Consider the following 25,929-nt stretch of genomic DNA (forward strand, 5'->3'; position numbering starts at 1 on the left):
TTGGAGGGGAGAGAAGAGGAATAAAAAGGTGTAGCTTAAAGAGAAATTTTAGGGCAGTGAAACTATTCTATCTGACACTGTATGGTAAATGACACTAAACATTTTTCAACACCCCAAAAAACTGTACAACACCAAATGTAACCCCTACTGTAAACTTAGTACTTTAGTTTACAATAGTGTATCAACGAAGGTTCATTAATTCTGTCTAATGCACGACACTAATATAGGATGTTAGTAACGGGGAAATTGTCTTCAGAGGGAGAGGGTGTATGCGGTAGTTGCGTGTACTTTCTCCCCAACTCTTCTGTGAACCTAAAACTGCCATAAAATAGTATTTTAAATTAAAAAAGTAAAACAACTACTGAACTTCAAAATTACATTCATGTCTCTGAAACGTTATGCTGAATGAAGTAAGCCAGACACGATAGGCTATATGATACATGATCCATTCATCTAAAATTCTAAGAAATAAATCTAATCTAAAGGGACAAAATTAGACCAATGTTTGGCTGCTGCTGGATGACAGGAATAGTGACTATAATGGGAAATAGGCAAATATTTGGAGATATAGAAACTGTACCTTCCTCTGGTGGTGCTTGCATAGGTATATATATCTTACATTTGTATTTACCTTAAGTTATTATAAATTAATAAAGGGGAAATTAAAATGCAAATTATGATCCATGAAATATTTAAAATGCTGAGAACTTTGGTATCCAATTTGCAGGCTACGGACAGAGTCTAATTAAATAATATTTAATCCATTCCCAATTAATTTTTTAAAAGTAACTTTTCATGAAAGACAATTAATTTTATGCATTTCCTTATCTTATTCTTGTTCCTCCCTCAAATTTAGTAGAATTACCTTAAAGGTATAACATTTTATAAGACTAAAAATATGACAAGAAATTCCGCTGAAGGTGTTGGCAGAAGGATTTGTATTGGACTGTGTTTTTCCTGGCAACACGAAGCAAAACTATACATACACACAAACGCACACACACACAAAGATACACAAACATAATAACCATACATAGTTTTATATAACTATATGTAATATATCTAATATTATATGTAATACATTATATGTAAGTAAATAAGTTTATATAGTCTATATATAGAAATAAGTTTATTTATATATATGTTTATATGTAAATAAACTTTTTTTTTTGAGACCAAGTTTCACTATTGTTGCCCAGGCTGGAGTGCACTGGCGCGATTATAAATAAAATTATTTTATATAATATATAGACTATAGAACTATATATATTTATATGTGTTTATATATATATAAATAAGTTTATATATTATTAACTTATTACACTTATAGAATTGAATTTATTAAAGTCAACTTATTAAACTTGTATAAACTTATTTTTACATAAACTTCTTTATAAAAATAATATATAACTATATAAATATATAATATAATACAACATATGGTTATAGTTATATAACTATATATAGTGGTATAGTTACATAAAACTAATATACATAAACTACATATAGTTTTACTTATAGTTTTTATATATACAGTTTAACATAAGTATATATAGTTTATATAAAAATTATACAGAGATATATTTATTCATTTCTGAAGGTCACTAGAATGCAATGAAAGTCAAGTATAAATTTGAGGTGTCAACACCCTTGTGTAAAGAGCAAAAACAGCAGATGACACTCATATATAACAGAGAGTCCTATGAGGGCACTTAATTTGCAAAGTACACGGAAAGAACATGTGAAGAAATAGCTGTTTGACAGGTTTGGGGAGTCAGATTTACATTCAATAGTGCCCATGAATTTGTAAAGCAAAGTTGGCTATATGCAACGGTAGACATCACAGTGTGATGAGTCCCTAAATCTATAGGAATTTCCTTCAAATCCTTGCCTAACAACTAATTTCAAATATTCAGTGTGAGACTCAAAGGATCCCCACAGAGAGCAATCAATTTAGGCTAAAAGAGCTGAGGAGAGGTTTTCTCAGCTTCTTGTTGCTGGGGAGACACGGGTTGAAGGTCAAATTCAGCTCAGTTAAAATAGCTGGGTCAAAATCCCGGGATTTTGCTAAAACCCTGCAAGGGTTGCATGCAAAGCAAAAAGACTGTGTTCTAGGAATAAGGGCCAAGTGAAAATAAAGAGAAACTCATTTTTTAAAAAGAATTTAACCAACTCTCTGCAGAATCAATGGAAGGTGATAGTAGTGTAATTTCCTGAAAGACCTCAACCCTTCAACGGAAGACAGCAAATTCAAGAGTCTCTAGACCTTGCCTTTCAGAAGGAAACACATGCTATAGAAAATAACTAAATCTGTAAAGAACAGGAAAAGTTAATATCACCTGGCCTAAAGGAAAGATACATGTTTGACTCATGAAACAAAGACATAAAATATATCTTATAATTGTGTTGCAGTCTTTACATTAAAAGGTGTATAGAATCTGTGAAAAGAATGGGAATAACAAGAGAGACATACTTTTATTAAATTAAAATGTCATTCTTTAATATAATTAAAAAATATACTTTAAAAGGTATAGTAAAAATGTACACAAGATTGAGAAGAATGCAAAAATGTTAATTTTCACCACTTCTACAAATCATTGTGCTGGAGGCTTGAGACAGTACATTATGCAAAGAAAAAGGAAAAAAAAGTACATAGAATGAGAAAAAAGTTATTTTTTTCTTTATTTACAGATTGTTACAGGAAAAATCCCAAGACTTCTACAAAAACAAATTCTAAACTAATAAATATGTTTAGCAAGGTTTCAGGATACAGATTCAATGTTCAGAAATTAAATCTATTTTTATTTTCTAGTAGGAAACAATTCAACATTTAAAAAAGTCATTCAATATGGTATAAGGATTATTTTGCAAAATGTGTGACCAAAAAATGTGATATTCATGGCTTAAAATTTTATATATGAGGACTTAACTCTGATTTTTTTTTATCTTGCCCTAATTCCTATCTAAGGGGTCTAGGGAGTCATGCCCTATAAACCATAAATTCTCATCAGATGGGTTTTATTTGATCCTATATATTGTGACTTACTTTTCAACCTGACTCTGGCATAACATTATGAGACAAGGAAAGAATGTTTAACCCCAAAATGTATTTCCTTGCCATACCTTGAAATTCCCCGGCAAAGTCTCTTGTGGCAAAAACCCACATCCTATAGAGAAGCCCCTTTCCCCTTTGTTTTCTTTCCTTTTTTTCCAGATCCAGGAGATAATCAACTAAAAGCCAGGCATCCTTTTAAGTCCCATAAGAAACATTTTACAACCTGCTCTCTCTGAAGTCTGCAATCCGAGAGCTTCCTCTGCACAATAAAACTTGGTCTCCACAATCTTTTATCTTGACCTGAACATTTCCTTTCTATTGATCCCAGGTCTTCAAATAAACTCAACCAATTGTCAACCAGAAAATGTTTAAATTTACCTATAGCCTGGAAGCCTCCCCTTTGAGTTGTCCCACCTTTGTGAACCAAACCAATGTATTTCTTAAATGTATTTAATTGATGTTTCATGCCTTCGTAAAATATATAAAACCAAGCTGTACCCCGACCACCTTGGACACATGTTCTCAGGACCTCCTGAGGGCTGTGTCACAGGCCATGGTCACTCATATTTGGCTAAGAATAAATCTCTTCAAATATTTTACGGAGTTTGACTCTTAGTCAACACACACACACACACACACACACACAAATATTTTTGAGAGATGAGAAACTAAGGAATGTCTGAATAAATGAAGTGATAGACTGTACTCATGAACTGGAAGATGCAGACTGCTAAGGTATTAATTATTCCCATTTGGGTTCATAGATTCATTGTCCTCTCAATCTATATCTTAGACAAATATTGTGCAAGAATTAAAAGGTCTATTCTATAATTTATTAAAATGCAAAATGTTGCAATAGATAAAAAAGAATAAAAGTAGAACATCATGCACTATGACTTCAAGACATTGCCTGAATCTACTGATACCAAAAAAAGTTTGATAGTGGCCAGAGAAGAGAATATAGATTGAAGGAAGAAAAGAGACAGTCCAGAAATTGACTCACACATAGTTAAACTCTCTTTTTAACACAGTTGATCAAGGAATTCCATGGGAAAGAAAAACATCTTCGACACATGTTGATGAAATGTTTGAATATCCTTATGGTTAAAAAGAAACTTCAACTGCCAACTCAGATTATGCACAGAAATCAATTCAAAATGAATTATAGACTTAATCATGAAAGTTAAACAATGGCCTTTCTCAAGAAAGTAAAATAGGAGAATGGGTAGGCAAAGTCCTTCATGCCCTTGGGTAGGCAAACATTTTGTAGGGAGAATATTGAAAGCGCTAGCCATAAAAGGTAAAAATGGACAATTACACTTTTGCAAAATTAAGTACAATCATATGCCCTATAAAAACGTTTTGGTCAATGATAGACCACATAGGTGATGGAGTGGTGGGGGGGGAGGGTCTCATAAGATTCTAACACTATGTTTTTACTGTACTTTTTCTATGTTTAGGTGTGTAAATACTTATTGTATTACAATTGCCTATAGTATTCAATACAGTAACCTTCTGTAAAGGTTTGTAGCCCAGGAGCACTAAGCTAGACCCTATACACTAGGTGTATAGTAGGCTATACTACCTAGGTTTGTGTAAGTGCACTCTATGATGTTCGTCCAATGACAGAATTGCCTAATGATGCATTTCTGAGAAGGCATTCTCGTTGTTAAGTGATGCATCAGTGTATTCTGAAAAGGAGATAAACAAGTGAATTATAGGCACATTAAAATGAACCCAATATTGTTGGGATCATGGACATCCACTATAGAACTAAAATGAGATAACATCAAGACACATTAGAATAGCTAAAATATAAAGATATTGGCAAGGATCTGTTTAAAATAGTACAAATACTTTAGAAAACTGTCAGCCTGTTTCTTAAAACGTTAAACATATATACAACTTCCATGATCCAACAATCCAACTGCCATGCTTTTATCCAAGAAAAACCAAAAGACATGTCTTCAAAAGGCCTTCTACAAGAATCTTCATAGCAGTTTTGTTCATAATAGTCCAAAACTACAAATATGCTTGTTATCTATGAATAAGTGAATGAATGAGAAAATTATGACACAGTCATAGAAAGAAAATAATTAATAATAAATACAGCAATGTGACAAAATCTAAAATATATTAAGAAGAATGAAATAGGCAAGGAGTACATACTGTTGATTCTGCTTTTAAGCTGTAGGGTGGGAAGTGCTATAGAAATGTAATCAATGGCTTCTTCAGGAGAGGAGCATGAAGGAATTTGTGGGGTGATAATATGTTCTATATTCTTATGGGTTGTGCAATATATTGCATAAATACGGTAATATCAATTGATATATGCAGTTAAGATCTGTGCATTTCATGACATCTAAATTATTTGTCCGTAAAGCATTCTGAAGAAAATGTAAAAGAGAAATATTCAAGTGATTACTACATCAAAGAAGAATTTGGTGCCGAATAAAATACAACAGAAGAAGAGGGAACTGAAGGAAAAAATGAAAGAGCTGTTGAAGGAGTTTTCATTCATCTGGACAAACATGAAAGGGAAAGCTGAGTTCTATCTTCAGACTATCATTAAGCATTATTAAGTGAGTTTTATTTCCAGTGAAGATGCTATCAGAGATTATGTCCAAAAATTTGTGGTGTTACAACTTTAATACAAAATATAAGGAAGACACATATGTGTAAGAGGATCCAGAAAGGATAGGAGTAGATTGAGTCTGTATGTTGGAATGATTAGAATATGTCTCCTTATAGGTATTACACAAATTATGCAGGTGATATTGAACATGATTTCAAGATTTTATGCATTATTTGTATTTAATTTTAAATGTTTTACAATGAAAGATGATACAGGACAAAAATATAGAAAGGTATACTAAAAATCTACTAAACTCAAAAGCAAAGAGAGAGAAATGGAGAGAAAGCATTCAGATCATTCAATCCTTGTTGACCCTATATGAAATAAAGAAAGCAAGTGACAAGTCATAGAATCAAAATAAAAGGTAACTCAATGAGCTAAAAACTTTTGGAAAGTACAGAATCCAAGCAGAGAAAATAATCTCCAAACAGTGGCATGTTCTCAAAGCAAAGGTTCTTGTGTCAATGCTTTGGGTATATTCATCTGACACAGACATTTTTCATCAAACAACCATTGTTGTCTCTTCTGGAGGGTAAGTAGTGTTCTTTAAGATAATTTACCGGCCAAGTTAAGTAAAATGCTTTCTTTAAGATAAATTACTGGGTCCCAAACTAAATAAACCCAAAGATATTAAAGTATGCTGGAAGACAATGTTACCTGGTGGTTTATAAGACCTTCTTGCAAAGCTGGATCTGTAGACAGGGAGATGTTTTGCTTAACTTCTAAGATGTTGGGTTACTGAGCTCTGTCCACATTCTTTTTGTGCAAAATTGCTTAAATTCATAACGAAATTATGACTCCATGCCATGTGGCCTGAAGATGAGTCGTGTTCAGATTATATGCATTACATTTCAGCAGTTTTCTGGTGATGGCGTGATGTGTTTTATTCTCTATACCCACTACTTCTGATTCCCAGACCTTGTAGAAGATGTGTGCATTACCACAATGAACTTCAACTTGGTTTTGACAAAAAAACTCCTTACTTTCATGACTCATCCTACCCTTTGAGATCAGATGGCTTAGCTAAGCTCATCTGTCTTTTGCTTAAAATAAGTTTTATCCTAACCATATGACTAAAAAATCTTAACTATTTATCTGTCTATGTAAAACTCTACAAGTAGACATTTTCCACTTTTCAGAAAAAACGTTAAATAATTTAAATTTATGGCTCTAACTATATGGTTAAAATTAAAATTGCAAAGGGGTAAAGGGGAGAAGGGAGAGGAGCAGAAAAGATCACTATTCAGTACTGGGCTTCATACCTAGGTGTTGAAATTATCTGTATACCAAACCCCTGTGACACATCTTTACCTATATAAAAAACCTTCACATGTACCCCCAAACCTAAAATAAAAGTGAAAAAATAAAATAAATAAATAAAATAAAATTACTTAAGGGAAAAAAGTGACAAAAATTCTATACATTTCAGTGAAAGCGTTCTTTTCATAATAGTCACATTGAGAGAGTATGTGTTTGATTTAGTGTTGCTGGGGTTGCTAAAAACATTGTTGGATCTTTAAAAAATTGAATCTGGAATTCGTTAGTACATTTATATTTTTAGTCTGCACTCTTATTAGTTGTATGATTAAATTCCCATGGAAAAGATTGCAGTGTTACAGAATTTATTCCCTGTCCTCCCCAGTCCTACTCCTCTCTTCAGAATGAGTCATCGTCAACATTTCAGTGTCCATCCTGACATTCTGCATATCATTCCCTCCTGTGTATCAATATGCAATACATTTCTATCTAAAAAAATGATTGGGATCATATTATATCTAAATTATGACTTGCAGTTTTCCATGTCTGCTCATATAAATTTGTCAGATCTTCTGATTACCTAGTTTTCCATTGTATGAACGACACAATTTTCTTTTTGATTCTTTTATTTATCTATTTATACAGGGTCTTGCTACATCACCCCTGCTGGAATGCAGTGGTGAGAATCATAGCTCACTGCAACCTTGACCTCTTGGGCTCAAGCAATTCTCTCACTTCAGTCTCCTGAGTAGCTTGGGACCGTATATACATGCCGCTACACAAGACTAGTGTTTTATTTTTAATTTTCTGTCGAGGTGAGACTTTGCTGTGTAGCCTAGGCTGGTCTCAGACTCCTGGATTCAAGTGATCCTCTTGCCGTAGCCTCCCAAAGTGCTGAGATTAGACGTGTGAGCCACCATGCCTGGCCAATGGTCACTCCTTGAGCTTCTAGTCTAAATAGTATGATGCCATAGACATAGCATGTTAATATGATGGTAGCATATGGAGGGAGCCCAGGCCCTTGCTATAACATAAGGCAGAAGAGAAGACAATGCATTCGGGAAGAGAGACTGAATGTCAACTGATTTCTCTTCCAACTGATGGAAACTCTTTTTAATTCTTCATCCTATAAGAAATAGAAAATAATACATTCCACCAAGCAATGATTGCATACCATGTAACTAAGCCTATGTTCATCTGTGTTCAGAAAAACAGAATATCAAATCTAGTACAAAAATTGTAATTATGGCTAGTTCTTGTTTGAATTTGCCTAGTGCATGGCCATCCTGTAGATTTACCTGATTTTTACACTGCAGGAAATATGAGATAAATGGGAATATGAGGACTACAACCTCAGAATCCTTCATATCTTTAAGACTGTCATGTATTAGTCCATGCATGGTGGCTCACGCCTGTAATCCCAGCACTGTGGGAGGCCGAGATGGGAGAACAGCTTGAGTCCAGGAGTTTGAGGCCAGCCTGGGCAACATAGGGAAACTCCGTCTTTGTTAAAAAAAAAAAAAAAGGATAAATTCTTTAAAAATGGCATGTATCTATAAAACTCTCCCAAAGATGTATTGGTGCATCTATTCCCAAATTTGGCAGTGTATAGTAATGCTTTAGAAAAGATAGTGTTTCAATCATCAAAAGTGAGCTTAAAAATTAGTTTGGTTGAAATTGTCTCAGACTCAGTACTCACTGGATAAACTGACTTATTACATACTGCCTTGTTATCAGCAGTATTAAAATTACTATGCAATGATATTGGATTACATGGATAAGATATAATAATAAATAAAAATTTTCCAAAATGGTGCTGAAATAGACTGGATTTAAGAATACTTACACAATTACTTAAGAGATATTCTGAAGGTTCTGTTTTGTTTTACTCTGAATCTAAAGACAACACAATTTTGTATCCTTTAACAAATATCTCCCTATCTCCCCTGTCTTCTCTTCCTCTAGTAACCATCATGTCACTCCACTACTATAAGATCTTCTTTAGTGTCCACATATAAGTGACAAAATTGGCATTTATCTTTTTGCGCCTGGCTTATTTTACTTAACATAATGTCCTCCAGGCTCATTCATGCTGCTACAAATGACAGAATTTTCTTCTTTTTTAATGGCTGAATAGTATTCCATGGTGTATGTACACCACATATTCTTTTTCCATTCAACCATCAATGGACACTTAGGTTGATTTTGTATCTTGACTATTGTGTATAGTGCTACAATAAACATGGGGTGCAATTACCCCTTTTATATATTGATTTTTTTTTTTCCTCCTTTGGGTATATACACACTAGTGGGATTGCTGGATTATAGGGTAGTTCATTTGCAGTTTTTGCGGAACTTCCATACTGTTCTCCATACTGGCTGTACTAGCTTACATCCCCAAGAACAGTGTATAAGAATTTGCTTTCCTCTGAAATGTCCTACTGTTATGTAAACTATCATTATTAGTCAAAAGTGTATAATGGCTTCGAAGCAAGAGAGAGACCCTCTCATATTGTTTTATATTGTTTTATACTCAGTACCTGTTTTAAGAAGAAACAACAAAAAAGTAAAACCAAAGACAGGCAGTCCGGCGCCAGGCCCGAAACCAGGCCTGGGCCTGCCTGATCTAAACCTAGTAGTTAAAAATCAACTCAGAGACCGATGTTATTCATAGATTCCAGACATTGTATAGAAGAACATTGTGAAACTCCCTGCCCTGTTCTGTTTCTCTCTGACCACCGGTGCATGCAGCCCCTGTCACGTACCGCCTGCTTGCTCAAATCAATCACGACCCTTTCATGTGAAATCTTCAGTGTTGTGAGCCCTTAAAAGGGACAGAAATTGTGCACTCGGAGAGCTTGGATTTTAAGACAGTAGCTTGCCGATGCTTCCAGCTGAATAAAGCCCTTCCTTCTACAACTCGGTGTCTGAGAGGTTTTGTCTGCGGCTCGTCCTGCTACAGTTTCACAGAATCTCTCTATACTGCTTTTGCAAAATCTGTCATCTATGTTATTTCAATATGAATAAAACGTTTAAAATATTATAAACATTCAGAAAGCATAGTGATCATTTTTTTCTTTTTACCTACGCTTTCACTTATTTCTTTTCTTTCACAGAAAGCTACGAAATAATATTGATTATGTGAATGAAATGGTAATCACAGTGTTGCCTGTCTTTTGTGGAATCTAATTAAACCTGCTGGCTTCCAAGGTAGTAAAGGAAATAAAAAAAGTTTACTCCAAAATACACTTCATTGATATATGTCAAGATGACTAGTCAGAAGTGCTGGAAACACAAGAATAGCAGAAAAGCTGTTTTTTGTGGAGGAGATTTGCATCTGTGGAGAAAGTGTGCATTTAGGCAGCCGGCTTTCTTTGATGGACTCCCTTGTTGGGATTTAAGAAAGAGGAACTGAGAGACTGACATCTTTAAAGGTCTGAAAGAGACATTTACCATCTATTCTCTCCAAGGGCTGCTATCTGGGAGGTTTCATCTGCATAACAAGACCACTTTTGCTGGCCAGGCCTCCTCTTCTCTCCTCTTATAAGCTGTGTTGCCAGGACCCAAACCCCCATTCTTTCTGTAAACTCAAGATGGTATGAAAGCAATAACCATCTGGCCATTTCTTTGAGATATTCTGTTTCATAAGAGTTCCGTGCACCATAATAAATTTGTGTGTCTTTTCTGCTATTAATCTGCCTTTTGTCAGTGATTGTCAATGAACCTTCAGAGAGCAAAGAGGCATTTTCTTCTTTGTCTTTGCAATAGATACAGTAACTTCAAACCTCAACATGTTCTATACTTCTCAATAAAATGTATAGAAGAGGTACTGAGTTACATACTACTACGGGTTTTATTTTGTTGTTACTGTTGCCGTTGTTTTCCAATAATCAATATTTAGGGCTTTATTGGCCAACAGGCCACAAACTCTTCCAGTGTAGCATGAAAGCAGCCACAGACAAAAAGTTAAAACAATGAGCATGGTTACAAGAAAAGATCCTCTCTCTATGAAAAATACAAACATTAGCCAGTCATGATGGAGGCTGCAATGAACTATGATTGTGCCACTGCACTCTAGCCTGGGTGACAGAGTGAGACCCTAACCTCCCCCACCAAAATAATAGCATAAAATAAAAAGAAGGATCTTTTATGTCAAAAGTGTCCATTTTTGCATTCATGTGATTTGGAAATTTTTCATCATACAGGAAAGAAGTAAACATCCTTTGCCTTATAATATATTGGGCAAGAAATAAATAAGGAAACCTGAACGTAGAAAAATATGTCTTAAAAGTTCTGTTTCTTTCTTCTTTCCAACTGCTATCTACCTAACAGCATCTATAGAGACAGGGGGAAATGATTTCCTCCTTTTAACTTTCAAAAATTAGGGGAGCAGGCAATGACATTTCTTTCTACAGTGGTTCCAATGAAAAGTCAAGCCAATAAAAAGTGTATTACAGATTACAGATTCTCATACAGATGTTAAGGAAAGAGAAACAGCCACAGAAGTTGATGGTCTAGCTCAGTAACTTCAAACAAAGCATTTGAGCATATGGACATGGTGTTATCTTAGTGACTCCAAAGAGGCTACTTTAGAGGAAGAAAGGGAATTTTACATCTCGTTTTCTCTTGAGATTTTAGCCTCAGAGTAATTAGCAAATTTCCAAGATTCATTTATGACATCTTCAAACTGGGGGAGGTATCTGAACACTTTCCTGGACTGTTATGAATGAAAGATACAAGAAGTGAAATTTCTGAGCAAATTAGGCTAAGAAGTTGGTTATTAGAACCTGCTAATTTTGTTTTGTTTTGCCTGTTGTTGTTAAAAATGAAGGTCCTTTGCTTTTAGAGACACCATTCCAATATCCTTCATCTAGATTCGAGTCCTTTCCTGATACTTAATATTTGTCAAGGCATGAGTAAACAATGATTGATAGAGAGGATTTGTTCTTTCAATGAACTTGGAAGGATAAATAGCAAGCTTAAAGTGTAAGAAAATCTACTTCCACGCTTTCCAGAAATAAATTTGCTCCTTTTATGAATGCTCTGCTAGTTCTTGTAATAGATAAATGCAATAGCAAGTATATTCTTGTTGGAGGTTAGAAAACAAGACCCAAAATACAGGCCACAGAAGCAGCTCTCTCTGATCATCTTCTGCCCTCCTGTCTCTTGGTTGCATTTTCCCTCGAGGCGCCATAAAAACTAGAATCCCTCTTCCTCAAGGTGGGTCCTAGAAATCAGAACCCCATTTCCCCAAAGCCGGCCAGAAAACCTAGAAACATGACCCTAACTTTCTGTGTAGAAACTGGCCATGAAGAAATTCCCGGACCTACCTTGTTTGACTGTATGTCGTAAGACCCTCCATTCCAGAGAGGGTCCTACCCCACACCCAGAAGGAAGAAAGAATGTTCAGAGAGGACAAAAAGAGTCTAGACAGACAGGCCTGGCTGGGTTTTCCCACTCCGTCCATTAGCTTTAGATCAGGCCTTTTTGGTCCAATCTTATTTCTAAAAATGGACATTTTCCTATGTATCTTGGGGTATTTATTCTAAAGGCCCCTGTGTATACACATTAAATAAATTTGCATGCATTTTCTCTGATTAATCTGCATTTTGTCAGTTGACTTTCAATGAACCTTCAGAAACTCTTTAGAGACAAAGAAGTTTGCCCTTGGTCTCTAAAGAGTTTACATAGCATTTTCTGTATAAGCATATAAAGTACATTATATACATGTATGTAAAACATATACATGTTGACACATGCATCTTTAAACAAATTTTAGAAAACCAGACTTGGAGCCAAATTAAAAAAATAAATAAATAAACAGAGGCAGAGGTCAACAAGATAGTTGAACATATTCAGGTTGTTCAGACGTTGTTTCCAGTGAGGTCTTCAAAGCCCCATACTCTTTGGCATTTTCCATTCCCTCCCCCTCCTTTTTTTTTTTTTTTTTTTTTTTGAGACAGAGTTTTACTCCTATTGCCCAGGCTGGGGTGCAATGGTGCGATCTCAGCTCACTGCACCCTCAAACTCCTGGGGCTCAGACGATTCTCCTGCCTCAGCCTCCCGAGTAGCTGGGACTACAGGCACGCACCACCATGCCCAGCTCCCATTCCCTTTTGATCTTGGGGCATAACCGGAAATTAGATACTGACTCCCAGCGTATTGGGAAGCTATTATGGACCAGTGGATTATCTGTTCTATCAGTTGCTAAGAAAGAAACACAAAGAACTTGGACTGAGGCAGACTCTCATTTGCCCTAGATAGGTCTTGTTATTTGCCTTGAGATCTTTGTCTCTAAAATAAGTGTGGGTGTAGGTTTTGTTTTATTTTTTTAATGGTATGTACCCACCCTGCTGAAAAGCACTGAGCAATGAGCAGGAAAAGTGAGTGTCCCCTAAGAAATGCAGTCATTCCTAGTTCAGAAGTCCATTCTTCTATGAGACACTAAGCAACAGATGCACAAAGTTAGAAACCTGCAAAGGTCACATGACTCACTCACACTTGTGCTGCCGGGTTCTAAGGTTACTTTAATGTGTCTCAGATTCCAAATCATTTGGATGCCATAAGTCCACCCATACAATCGGTGATTTGGCATCAACCGGAAAAGCTGTTAAACTTCTAGAACAGGGTTTCTCTGCCTCATCATCATCGGCATTTGAAACCAATATTGAATTTTTAAATTTTAGATTCAGGGATTACATGTGCAGGTTTGCGGCAAGGGTTTATTGACGATGCTGAGGTTTGGGCTTCTATTGATCCTGTCACCTAAAAAGTGAACATAGCACCAAATAGGTAGTTTTTTTTGTTTTTCTTTGTTAGTTTAGTTTAGTTTAGTTTTGTTTCAAATGACGCTCCCCTCCTTCTCTCCCCGCTTTTGGAATCCCTAGTGTCTATTTTTCCCATCTTTGTGTTCATGTGTGCTCAATGTTCAGCTCTCACTTATTAGTGAGAACACGTGGTATTTGATTTTCCATTTTCACATTAATTCACTTAGAATAATGGCTTCTGGCTGCATCCTTCTTGCTGCAAACGACATGGTTTCATTCTTTTTATTGAATTGGATATGCCTTTGTGGTGGGGGCTGTGCCGGGCAATGTAAGATGTTTAGCAGCATCCGTGGCCTCAACCAACAAGATGCCAGTAGGACCTACCCCATCTTTTTTATTGACAACAAAAAATGTTTTCAGACATTGTCAAATGTCTCCTGGTAGGGGGCGGGGGGCACAATAGGCCCCACTTGAGGACCACTGCTCTAATGCCCATCTAGTCGGTGGTCCACATTGTGCTGTATTCCTGATTGAATGAAGTACTAGAAAGCAAAGTAAAAAACATAAAATCTTTCTTAATGGAAAAACAAAATTAATGTCAAGTATTGATTCTGTGATACGAATGAGAACATGGACCACACATGGCTGCGTCGGAGTTATGTCTCTGCCTTTCAGAGGATGCAGCCGCTTCACTTTCCTTGCCTATCTGAGTCTTAAGGCAGCTGTGGTTTGGGCTGAAGAATTTCCTTGGTGGGATTCCAGTAATGATGGATGGCTGATGCTCCCTTTCTTGTCTACCCATCTCAAAATACTCTCATAAGCAGTCATGACTCCATACTCACTCTGACTGTAGACATTCCTTATCTCTGCATTGCACTATTGCCTCCATAGTGGCTTTTGTGGACAACCTTTTCAATTTCTATCATTGATCCTGATCCGATTCTTGTGGCCTTACTCAGCTAGTATGGTTTGTTTGTTTGTTTGTTTGTTTGTTTGTTTGTTTTTGAGATAGGGCTTTGCTCTGTTGTCCAGGCTGGAGTGCAGTCGTATAATCTCAGCTCACTGTAGCCTCGAACTTCCTGGCCCAAGCCATCCTTGTGCCTCAGCCTCCTGAGTAGTTGGGACCACAGGTGCTCACCACCACACCTGGTTAATTTTTAAAATGTTTTGTAGAAACAGAGTGTCACTATGTTGCCCAGGCTGATTTCAGATTCCTGGCCTCAAGCGTTCCTCCTCCCTTTCCCTCTCAAAGCGCTGGGATTACAGATTTGAGCCACCAAGCTTCGCTTCACACTAGTATCTTTTAAGCTGCTCACTTTCAAAAGAAAATAGAAAGAAAGCAAACAAACAAATAAAAGCCCCAAAATACCATTTGGATGCTGGTTGTGGAAATGGTAAGTTTTAGACGTTTTTATCCAGAACACTCCAGTATTGAGATCTTTCTGCTTTCAGATACATTATAGATGCTGCAAAAAATGTGCCTGGACACAGCACAATAGATGTGCCTCAGTGCCTTCAAATGCTTCCTGTAGAAGACTTCTTCTTGTCTTCAGTACCCCAAAAGAATTTATTCTCTATTGTTTAATGGACTTAATGGAGTCCAATGTGACTTAATGGAGTCACAGCCTCCTCTACTATAACTACTCAAAAAGGCCTAATTAAATTTTACTTCCTCTCTTTCTTCATTCCATCCTTTTAAACTCTACTTTTAATTATATAATCTATTACCCCGAGTAATTTCAATCACAACATAAACACCAACAAATAATGTTCAACCAGCAACTACCACTAGTCAACATCCATAATCATATAAAGCACCCGCACCTATAGAATCCTCACGAATCAACCCTGACCCCTCACCATCAAAAATCACTCAACTTCCCATGTTATTAAAATTAACTATGACCAGCAATCCATCATACTCAGCTGTTCACCAAATTAGCATCAACTCTATTACTAAACCCAATAAGAAACTCCCTAAAACCTCAATACCTGATCCTCACGCCTCTGGGTACTCCTCAATAGCAATCGCCATAGTATGACAAAAAACAACCATCATCTCTCCCAAATAAATCAAAAAGACTATTAGGCCTATAAAAGCCCTACCATAATTGAACACAATAATGCAACCTGCAGGACCACTAATAATTAACCCTAACCACCCATAAATAGAAGAAGGTTTAGAAGAAAAACCTACAAATCTCATAACCAAAAGACTACTTAACAAGAATAAAGCATATGTCATTATTCCCACATGGGTTATAACCATGACTAATGATGGAAAAACTATCGTTGTACTTCAAACACAAGAACACTAATGACTATAATAAGGAAAACAAATCCACTAATAAAAATTATTAATTACTCACTCATCGATCTCCCCACTCCATCTAATATCTCTATATGATGAAACCTCTGCTCACTTCTTGGCACCTGCTTATTCCTTCAAATCATCACAGGGCTATTCCTAGCCATACACTACACACCAGACACCACAACTGCCTTCTCTTCAATGGCCCATATTAATCGAGATGTGAACTATGGCTGAATTATCCACTATCTCCACACTAATGACGCTTCAACATTCTTCATCTGTCTCTTCCTACACTTTAGCCGAGGCTTATATTATGGCTCATTCATATACTTAGAAAACTGAAACATTGACATTATTGTCCTGCTCACAACCATAGCAACAGCATTTATAGGCTATGTACTTCCATGAGGCCAAATATCATTCTGAGGCGCTACAGTGATTACAAATCTACTATCAGCCATCCCATGGACAAGATCGGGGCTGACCTTTTTCAATGAATCTGACGCGGATTTTCAGTTGACAAAGCCACTCTCACACGATTCTTCACCATTCATTTCATCTCACCTTTTATCATTGTAGCCCTAGCAACGCTTCACCTACTATTCCTCCATGAAGCAGGGTCTAATAACCCCTCAGGAATTTCACCACACTTCGATAAAATTACCTTCCACCCTTACTATACAATCAAAGATATCCTAGGTGTAATCTTCCTCTTCCTTCTTTTAACAATGCTAGTACTATTTTCACCTGATTTCTTGAGTGACCCAGATAATTACACCTTAGCCAACCCCCTAAACACCCCACCCCAAATTAAATCAGAGTAATACTTTTTATTTGCATATGGAATCTTACTATCTATCCCCAATAAACTAGGAGGTGTATTAGCCTTTCTATTATCTATTCTTATTCTGGCAGTCATTCCTGCACTTCACACATCCAAACAACAAAGCATAATATTCCACCCACTAAGTCAATATATGTTCTGATTCTTAGTCACCAACCTATTGGCCCTCACATGAATTGGAGGACAGCCAGTTGGCCTTCATTATCACTGGACAGATAGCATCCATAATATACTTCTCTATTATTCTTGCCCTAATACCACTCATTTCCCTAATCGAAAATAAACTACTTAAATGAAACTGCCCTTGTAGTACAACCCAATACACTGGTCTTGTAAACCAGAAATGAAGAACCCTCTCCCCAGGGCAACTCAGAGAAAAAGCACTCCAGCTTCACCATCAACACCCAAAGCTGAGATTCTTTTTTTTTTTTTTTTTTGAGATGGAGTCTTGCTCCATTGCCCAGGTTGGAGTGCAGTGGTGCGATCTCCGCTCACTGCAAGCTCTGCCTCCCGGGTTCACACTATTCTCCTGCCTCAGCCTCCCGAGTAGCTGGGACTACAGGCGCCTGCCACTAGGCCCAGCTAATTTTTTGTACTTTTAGTAGAGACGGGGTTTCACCGTGTTAGCCAGGATGGTCTCGATCTCCTGACCTCCTAAACCACCCGCCTTGGCCTCCCAAACTGCTGGGATTACAGGCGTGAGCCATCACACCCGGCCAAAGCTGAGATTCTAATTAAACTACTCTCTGTATTCTATTCGTCATGAATTTTAAGTACTATATAAGTATTGACCATTAATACTGACACATTAATACTTTTATGTACTCCGTGCATTGTTGCTATTCACCATGAATAATATATAGTACTATCAATGCTTGATTGTACATAGTGCATATATGAACCATACAGTACTAAACAGCCTACAGTACATGCATATAAGCAAGTATTAGTAATTTCTCAATCAACTGTAGTAAGTCAATACTACATTTACATGTAAACCAATCCCACACAAATATTAACCAGTACTAAAATTCCTTAATATTACTTAGTACATTCATTCATTCATTGGACATAGCACATTTCAGTCGAATCTACCCTCGTCAGCTTTTCCACTCTGAGTATCTCTTGACCCATTCACCAGGTCTTGTTCTGTTGCCCAGGCTGGAGTGCGGTGGTGCAATCATAGCTTACTGCAACCTCGATCTCCTGGGCTCAAGCAATCCTCCTGCCTCAGCCTCACTAGTAGCTGGAACTACAGGTACACACCACCATGCCTGGCTAAATTTTTTAATATTTAGTAGAAACAGAGTAGAGACCAAGTAGCCCAGTCTGGTCTCAAACTCCTGAGCTCAAGAAACCTTCCTGCCTCAGCCTCCCAAACTGCTGAGATTATAGGTTTGAGCCACTGCACCTGGCCTATCACTTTTTTAAAAATTTTACACCTTCAGTGAGCTTCATGTCTGCTTCAACATGATCATAATAGTTATTACTATGTATTGCATTTATTAATTTACATGTATCTCTACCCCATAATCAGTAACCACCTGCTATAGTCCTAATTCCACACATCAGGCTAAACCATGGATAGATCATAAAATATGCTGAGAAATGTTGCCACAAAATACAAAACAAAAGGTGACACACAATTTCTCCACTGATGATAAATAATTAATATAATTTCTCCTAATGGGGCAAGTGTTCTTGAGAGAGAACTTTCTTGCAATCCATCTACGCTGGATAAAGGATCAAATTAAGCTATAATGTATTTGCCACTAAGAATTGTTGGGTGCAGTGGGTCACGCCTGTAATCCCAGCGCTTTGGGAGGCTGAGACAGGTGAATCACAAGGTCAGGAGTTCGAGACCAGCCTGGCCAACATGGTGAAACCCCGTCTCTACTAAAAATAGAAAATATTAGCCGGGCATAGTGGCAGGTGCCTGTAATCTCAGCTACTCGGCAGGCTGAGGCAGGAGAATAGCTTGAACCTGGGATGCGGAGGTTGCAGTGAGCCGAGATCACGCCACTGCACTCCAGCCTGGGCAACAGAACGAAACTCCATCTCAAAAACAAAACCTAAAGCAAAAACAAAAACAAACAAATAAAAAAAGAATTGTTGAATAAGGCAGATACAATCATACCACAAAGTAATAAAATAGTCACTTGACATACACACACACATTTGTACACATATCTTTCTATCTCTCTCTGTCTATATCTATCTATATCTGTGTATATATATATACATCTGTAAATCTATATCTGTATATTTATGTCTATATCTATCTATAAAAAGTCTACATCTATATTTGTAGATCTAAAGGTGTCTATCTATCTATCATGATCTAGATATCCACCACCTATCATTCTATCTATCTATCTGGATATAGATGTATGATTGCTTTATCTACCTATCTATCTACCTTGATATAAATAGATGTTATCTATCATCTATCTATACTATCTGTCATCTATTTTTTATCTATTTATGTGTCTATCTCTCTATCTGAATATAGATGTAAATAGAGCTATTATTCTATTTATCTATTAAAAATAAATTAATAGACAAATAGAATAATAGATAGATAATATATAAATAGAATAATCTACCTTAAATGATACATAGATTTATCATTATCTAAGATAATTGATAAACAGATTTATCATTATCTAAGATATTGATAAACAGATTTATCATTATCTAAGATAATTGATAAACAGATTTATCATTATCTAAGATAATTGATAAACAGATTTATCACTATCTAAGATAATTGATAAACAGATTTATCCTTATCTAAGATAATTGATAAACAGATTTATCATTATCTAAGATAATTGATAAACAGATTTATCATTATCTAAGATAATTGATAAACATATTTATCATTATCTAAGATAATTGATAAACAGATTTATCATTATCTAAGATAATAAATAGATTTATCGTTATCTGAGATAATTAATAAATAGATTTATCTATTATCTATCTAAGATAATTGATAAATAGAATGATTTGTCACTCTATCTATTATCTATCTAGCTATCTAGCTAGTTAGTTGTTAGCTAAAATAGCTTTTGGGGCTTTCAGCTTTTTGGATACTCAGTTCAAAATCTACTCTTCTTGTTTTCATGAACTTGACTGCTATATTGTCCTTTACATTAGACCATCTGGGTGAACAGCATTTGGCTTTGCTGGTGCCAGCCTTAACAGAACACTTGTTATTTGGAGCACTGTCTTAGTTCTGGCGCTCATGCATTCTGGAGTGAATATCATATGGACAATACAAGTTGATGCCTCAAGAGAATAAAACCCCCAGAATGGCAAGGCATAGGCAACATAGGAAACCCATTGATGATAATGAGACTCTGTTTTGTACTTTTGACAAATCAAACTGGAAACATTGGAGTTATGCGTTCCCTAATAATATGTGGAAAATACCATATCTTATCATTCTGAAAATGGTCAGTGAAATCTGAGTAATGGCTCCTTGGATGGATGTCATGACAACTATGATATTTTGTTGGGTTTATATGCCCATAGTATATTTTGTTCAACTCATATTTTTAAGTATTTAACACAGAGGGAGGAAGGTATAATACATTATTTAGATTACGAATGTCTTACATCATATTTCCCATTACTCAGGGAAACTAGACAATTGAATAAATATTACTGTCCTTGAAATACCTCTAATGTATTGTAATCTCCCACTCCACATAAAGGTCAAATTTCTAATTCAACTTAAAGTGCTCTCAAAACAAATCTCATCAAGACAATAACAGAAGAGTATTTTTTTTGCCTATCACTACCCAACAAGAAGTATATCACTGATATTCCAAGGTGATTTCTAACACACAATATCCTTATAGTTAACAACAAATGGTGTAGCAATCTCCATGTCCACAGACAAATGCTATAAGAAGAAGCTGTATTAGTCCGTTCTCACACTGCTATAAGGATGTACCTGAGACTAGGTAATTTATAAAGCAACAAGGTTGAATCAACTCATAGTTCAGCATGGCTGGGGAGGCCTCAGGAAACTTACAGTCATGGTGTAAGGGAAAGGGGAAGGGGAAGCAAGGCACCTTCTTCATAAGGCAGCAGGAAGGCGAAATGCTAAATGAATGGGGAAAAAGCTCCCTATAAAACCATCAGATCTAGTGATAACTCACTCACTATCACAAGAACAGCGTGTAGGAAACTGCCCCTCATGATTCAGCTACCTCCACCTGGTCTTTCCCTTGACACGTGGGGATTATGGGGGTTATGGGAATTACAATTAAAGATGAGATTTGGGTGGGGACACAAAGCCTAACCATATCAGAGGCGAATATCCAATTTTTTCCCAACAGTTGACCCACTTTCAACTCCTCCAGAAGGAAGATTGGAACATAACCATTAGAAAAATATTCTGCTGCTGACACTAGTAGTGGATCTGGTTTGCACTGACCAGGAACCTATTTTAGGACAATGAATGGTCACAGTCTCTCATTAAATACCATTTCATCTTTCAAGAGAGCTCCTTTTAGATTACAGGGACATGACATACCACTGGTACAGGACCCAATGATAAAGAGATGATAAGTGAAAATTGTCTGAAATGGAGTTGTTTTTGTTGAATTGCATATGGTGACAAGTGTGAAACTCTGAGACACTTTATGCCACATGTCTTAGTCAACTCAGGATGTCATAACAGAATCCCAGAAACTGGATGGCTTAAAAACAAACAGTTGTTTTCTCACAGTTCTAGAATATGAAAGTCCAAGATCATAGTGTTCATAGGGTTGGTTTTTGATAAGGGGTCTCTCTTCCTGGTTTGTAGATGGCCATCTTCTCCCTTTCTCTCTGTGTCCTCATGTGGTTATTTTTTCTTTTCTTTTTTTTTTTTTTTTTTTTTTGAGACAGGGTCTTTCTCTGTCACCCAAGTTGTAGTGCAGTGCCATGATCATGGTTCACTGCAGCCTCCACCTTCCAGACTCAAGTGACCCACCCACCTCAGCTTCCCAAGTGGTGGGGACTACAGGCGTGTACCACCACATTCAGCTAAACTTTTTCTTTTAAATTTTTTGTGGAGCAGGAGTTTCATCACGTTGCTCAGGCTTGTCGTGAACTCCTGGACTCAAGAGATCTACCTGTCTCAGCCTCCCAAAGTGCCAGAATTACAGGCATGAGCTAATGCTCTTGGACCTCACATAGTCTTTTCTCTATGTGTATGTCTTCATGGTGTCTTTTTCTATTCTCTAATAAGGAAACTAGTCCTACTGGATTAGGGCTATGACTTCATGACCTCATGGAAACTGAATTACCTCCTTAGAGGCTTTATCTCCGAGTATAGTCACATTGAGGATTAGTTTTAACATATGAATTTGAGGGCAGGAGAGAAGCACAGCTCAGTCCATAATAGGTGGTCTTCCACAATTCCACTACTGGCATGCGTCACCACACCCAGCTAATTTTTGTATTTTTATAGAGATGGGGTTTCGCCATGTTGGCCAGGCTGGTCTCGAACTCCTGACCTCAAGTGATCCGCTCGCCTCGGCCTCCCAAAGTGTTGTGATTACAGGCATGTGCCACCATGCCCAGCCTAGATGGTAGAAGTAACTCCTGGAAAGTAGATGCCCTTGGTAGAAACTGCTAGGCTTGGAAATTATAGCAGCTAGCTTCTCCAAAGAAGCTAGTGATGGAGAGAAAAAGAGAAAGAGAACAGAAAAAACCTGCTTCAGGAAATATGTGATAGTTCTGTGTTGTCATGCACAGAATATATCCCATTACAAATAAGTGATAAAGAATGCAAAAAATAATTAGTACAGGACCTGGAGAAATTTTACCACTTAACACAGAGACAAAGGAGTAGATAATTGGCCAGGGGACACAGTGAGGGTGAATCATTTACTCTAAAGGAATGAACAGTGGCTAAGAGCATCTAGTAGTACAGAGATGAATTGAGCCATAGGATAAAGACATATGGCAATTCCGAGGTTATTTGTAAGATTAAGCAGCCTCACTAATCCAGATATTTATGCTATAAGGAGTAAACATGGGGAAGAAATCAACATTGCATTTCTAAGGAGCTTTAGAGAGATACTTAATGGGCAAGCCAAGCAGGATGCCACAGAATTGAAAGAAATATTTCGATATTGTCAAGAGTCGAGTATGCTCATAGGAGGGGGGGTATTAAAAAAGAGGAAAAGATAATTTACCAGAGGGCAAAGACTTTCAGGAGTGAGAAGTCATTGGAACGAGAAAGAAAGGGGTGAAAACGAGAGAAAGAAAGTGAAACAAGAATAAGGAAGGGCATGAAATTCCAGAGAAGTGTGTGTGTGAGAGAGAGAGAGAGAGACAGAGACAGAGACATACAGAGAAAGAGACATACAGAGAGAAACAGAGACAGAGACATACAGAGAGAGACAGAGACAGAGACACAAAGAGAGAGAATGAGAGAGAGTGAAAAATGTAAACAACAGAAAAACTTACAAAACCTAAAGACAGGGTCTTTCTTGAAATATGTGGAGGGATTGGCATTTTGCAATTCATAAAGCATTTTGTTTAGAAGGCAATTATTTTGCACAATTCTTGCTTCTTCCCCGCTCCAGTGCTTTGGCATGGGGCCAATTATTTTTAGTTCTGATTTTTACTTAGAATTCAGCTTCAACTGTGGGAGAGGAGTCAACTTGAGTAAGTCCCTTCTGCTTTTAATGCCATTTTCCTCCAATCTGTGTGATAATGACACCAACTAAGAGTTATTGTCAGAGTCAAAGAAAATAATACACATTCAACAACCTGTCAGTGGAAGATGGCACATTGCTTGGTAAAACCCATACTTACATCTTTAAAGTTGCATTTGGTAACTTGAATTAGCTTTTTTTTTTTCCTCAGGGATAATGAATACTGTCGACATACTCAAGTGGTAAGAAGAATGGTTAGAAGCCTGTACAACACTGACTGTTATTTTATCATCTCCTCTTATTAGCACACAGCTCAGACCATGAAAGGGTGCTGGATGGCAGAATTCTGTTCCAATTTCTACTATGAATTAGGACTCGAATTTTTCCTGAGAAATGGCCTGTAAGATTCTGGCTTGTCATGTTTGCTTTTTCATTTTCAAGAGGGTTGAACAAAATATATCACCATTACATTCCTATCATCTTATTAATTCTTACTTTGAATTCCTAAAAACATATCCTGGTAGTTTATTTCTTATAATCCTTTGACATTTAAACAAAGTGTTCAGGACTACGTAAAACTATACTAATTTTTAAGAGAATGTACCTATTGTATCTTTACTATAAATCACATATGTTTTTTCCCTTTCATGAACTAAACTATTCATGCCTTTAAAGTTGCCTCTGCCGGGCGCAGTGGCTCAGCCTGTAAACCCAGCACTTTGGAAGGCCAAGGCGGGCAGATCACGAGGTCAGGAGATCAAGACCATCCTGACTAACATGGTGAAACACTATCTTTACTAAAAATACAAAAAATTAGCCAGGTGTGGTGGTGGGTGCTTGTAGTCCCAGCTACTGGGGAGGCTGAGGCAGGAGGATGGAGTGAACCCGGGAGGCGGAGGTTGCAGTGAGCTGAGATCGTGCCACTGCACTCCAGCCTGGGCGACAGAGTGAGACTCCATCTCAAAAAAAAAAAAAAAAAAAATTGCCTGTTAGGTTAAATATATAAGGAAAGACTTTATTATTTATAACACTGAAGATAGTCACAGCAATACCAAATAACAAACACATTTTACATATTTAGAGCCTTAATAAAAACCCAGTGAAGCCATTAATTCAATTTTTTTTCTCAGTGGTAAAAAGAATGCAAATTATTATCCAAATATAAAACTTTTCCTCAGTCGTAAAAGAAGCCTAAATTATTTTGTAATTATTTCAAGCTTAAAATTGCCAGGTATCTAAATATTTGATAAAGGATAGATATATACAATTATTACTAATCATACTAATTGTTACTTCACATAAGAAATAACAAAAACAATACACATGAGGAGAAAATAAATAAAATACAAATAAAATTTATATTTGACATTCTACTGTCTAAATTTCACTCATATCACAGCCTTACTTCTGCTGGAATTTTTCTTATACTTACATTCTATTATTTGTGCTCATCGTCAATTTTTTTTAACTATCTATGACTTTTTTTCTCGTTTTTTCTCCTTTTTTATCTAGACTTTTTTTTTTTTTTTTTTTTTTTGAGACAAGGTGTCACTCTGTCACCCAGGCTGGAGTGCAGTGACACAATCGTAGCTCTCTGCCGCCTTGAATTCTTGGGCTCAAGCAATCCTCCTGTCTCAGCCTCCTGAGTAGCTGGGACTATAGGTGCATACCACCATGGCCAGCTATCTTTTATAAAATTTTAGTTGTCAGACATCTTTATTTCTAGGGATTGTCACCAACCACCAACACAGGTCCTGACAATTGCTTGGATATCAGAGAGATTGGCCAACTAAATCACTGTCCTTTAGATCCAATAATCTTCTTTAGAATCTCTTCTCCATAGCCCTTCTTCTTCTAAACCAAAATTCTCCCAGGTGTGGATAATTGAAAGTGAAATTTTACCTAGGACTTACATTTCCCCAGAGAATATGAAGGCATGAAGATCCAGAATGTATTTGCATAAGATGTTTATATCAGATTCAGGATGAGAAAAACACAAGTTGTTTTCACCTGCTGCTTGGTGAAAGAATTTCAGTAAAGCAAACTGGAGCAGATTTAAAGACAGAGTCCAGTGATTGACACATTGAAGACTTTCATTTGGTGACTATAAGAGAAATAGATGTTAGATTTAGTAAGTAAGAAAAATGTTTATGCACTATAGAGAAAGGTGTGTCTCTCTGGGTAGCACAGGGTTATAAAACATACAGACGAGAATCACTGTGTTCTTGGAGCAGCTCTCACAGTCCTTAGATGTGGGAAATTAGGATTGATATGGTTTGACTGTGTCCCCACCCAAACCTCATCTTGAATTGTAATCCCCATATCCCCACACGTCTAAGGAAGGACCCAGTGGGAAGTGATTGGGTCATTGGAGCTGTTTCCCCCATGCCGT

General features: G+C 36.8%; 2 pseudogenes, besides 1 other annotated feature; one reads left to right on the forward strand and one right to left on the reverse strand.

The window, feature by feature from the left end:
* Nucleotides 1,641-2,291: an enhancer, noted in NCBI's record as "OCT4-NANOG hESC enhancer chrX:5073162-5073812 (GRCh37/hg19 assembly coordinates)". NCBI's record gives its function as "activates a minimal SCP1, AML or CMV promoter by ChIP-STARR-seq in naive H9 embryonic stem cells {active_cell/tissue: H9 hESC(naive)}" and the evidence as "EXISTENCE:reporter gene assay evidence [ECO:0000049][PMID:30033119]".
* MTND6P12 (MT-ND6 pseudogene 12) lies at nt 15,438-15,959 on the reverse strand (annotated as a pseudogene).
* On the forward strand, nt 16,032-17,165 carry MTCYBP12 (MT-CYB pseudogene 12; annotated as a pseudogene).

The sequence above is a fragment of the Homo sapiens genome, chromosome X (assembly GCF_000001405.40).
Source record: "Homo sapiens chromosome X, GRCh38.p14 Primary Assembly".
Taxonomy (NCBI): domain Eukaryota; kingdom Metazoa; phylum Chordata; class Mammalia; order Primates; family Hominidae; genus Homo; species Homo sapiens.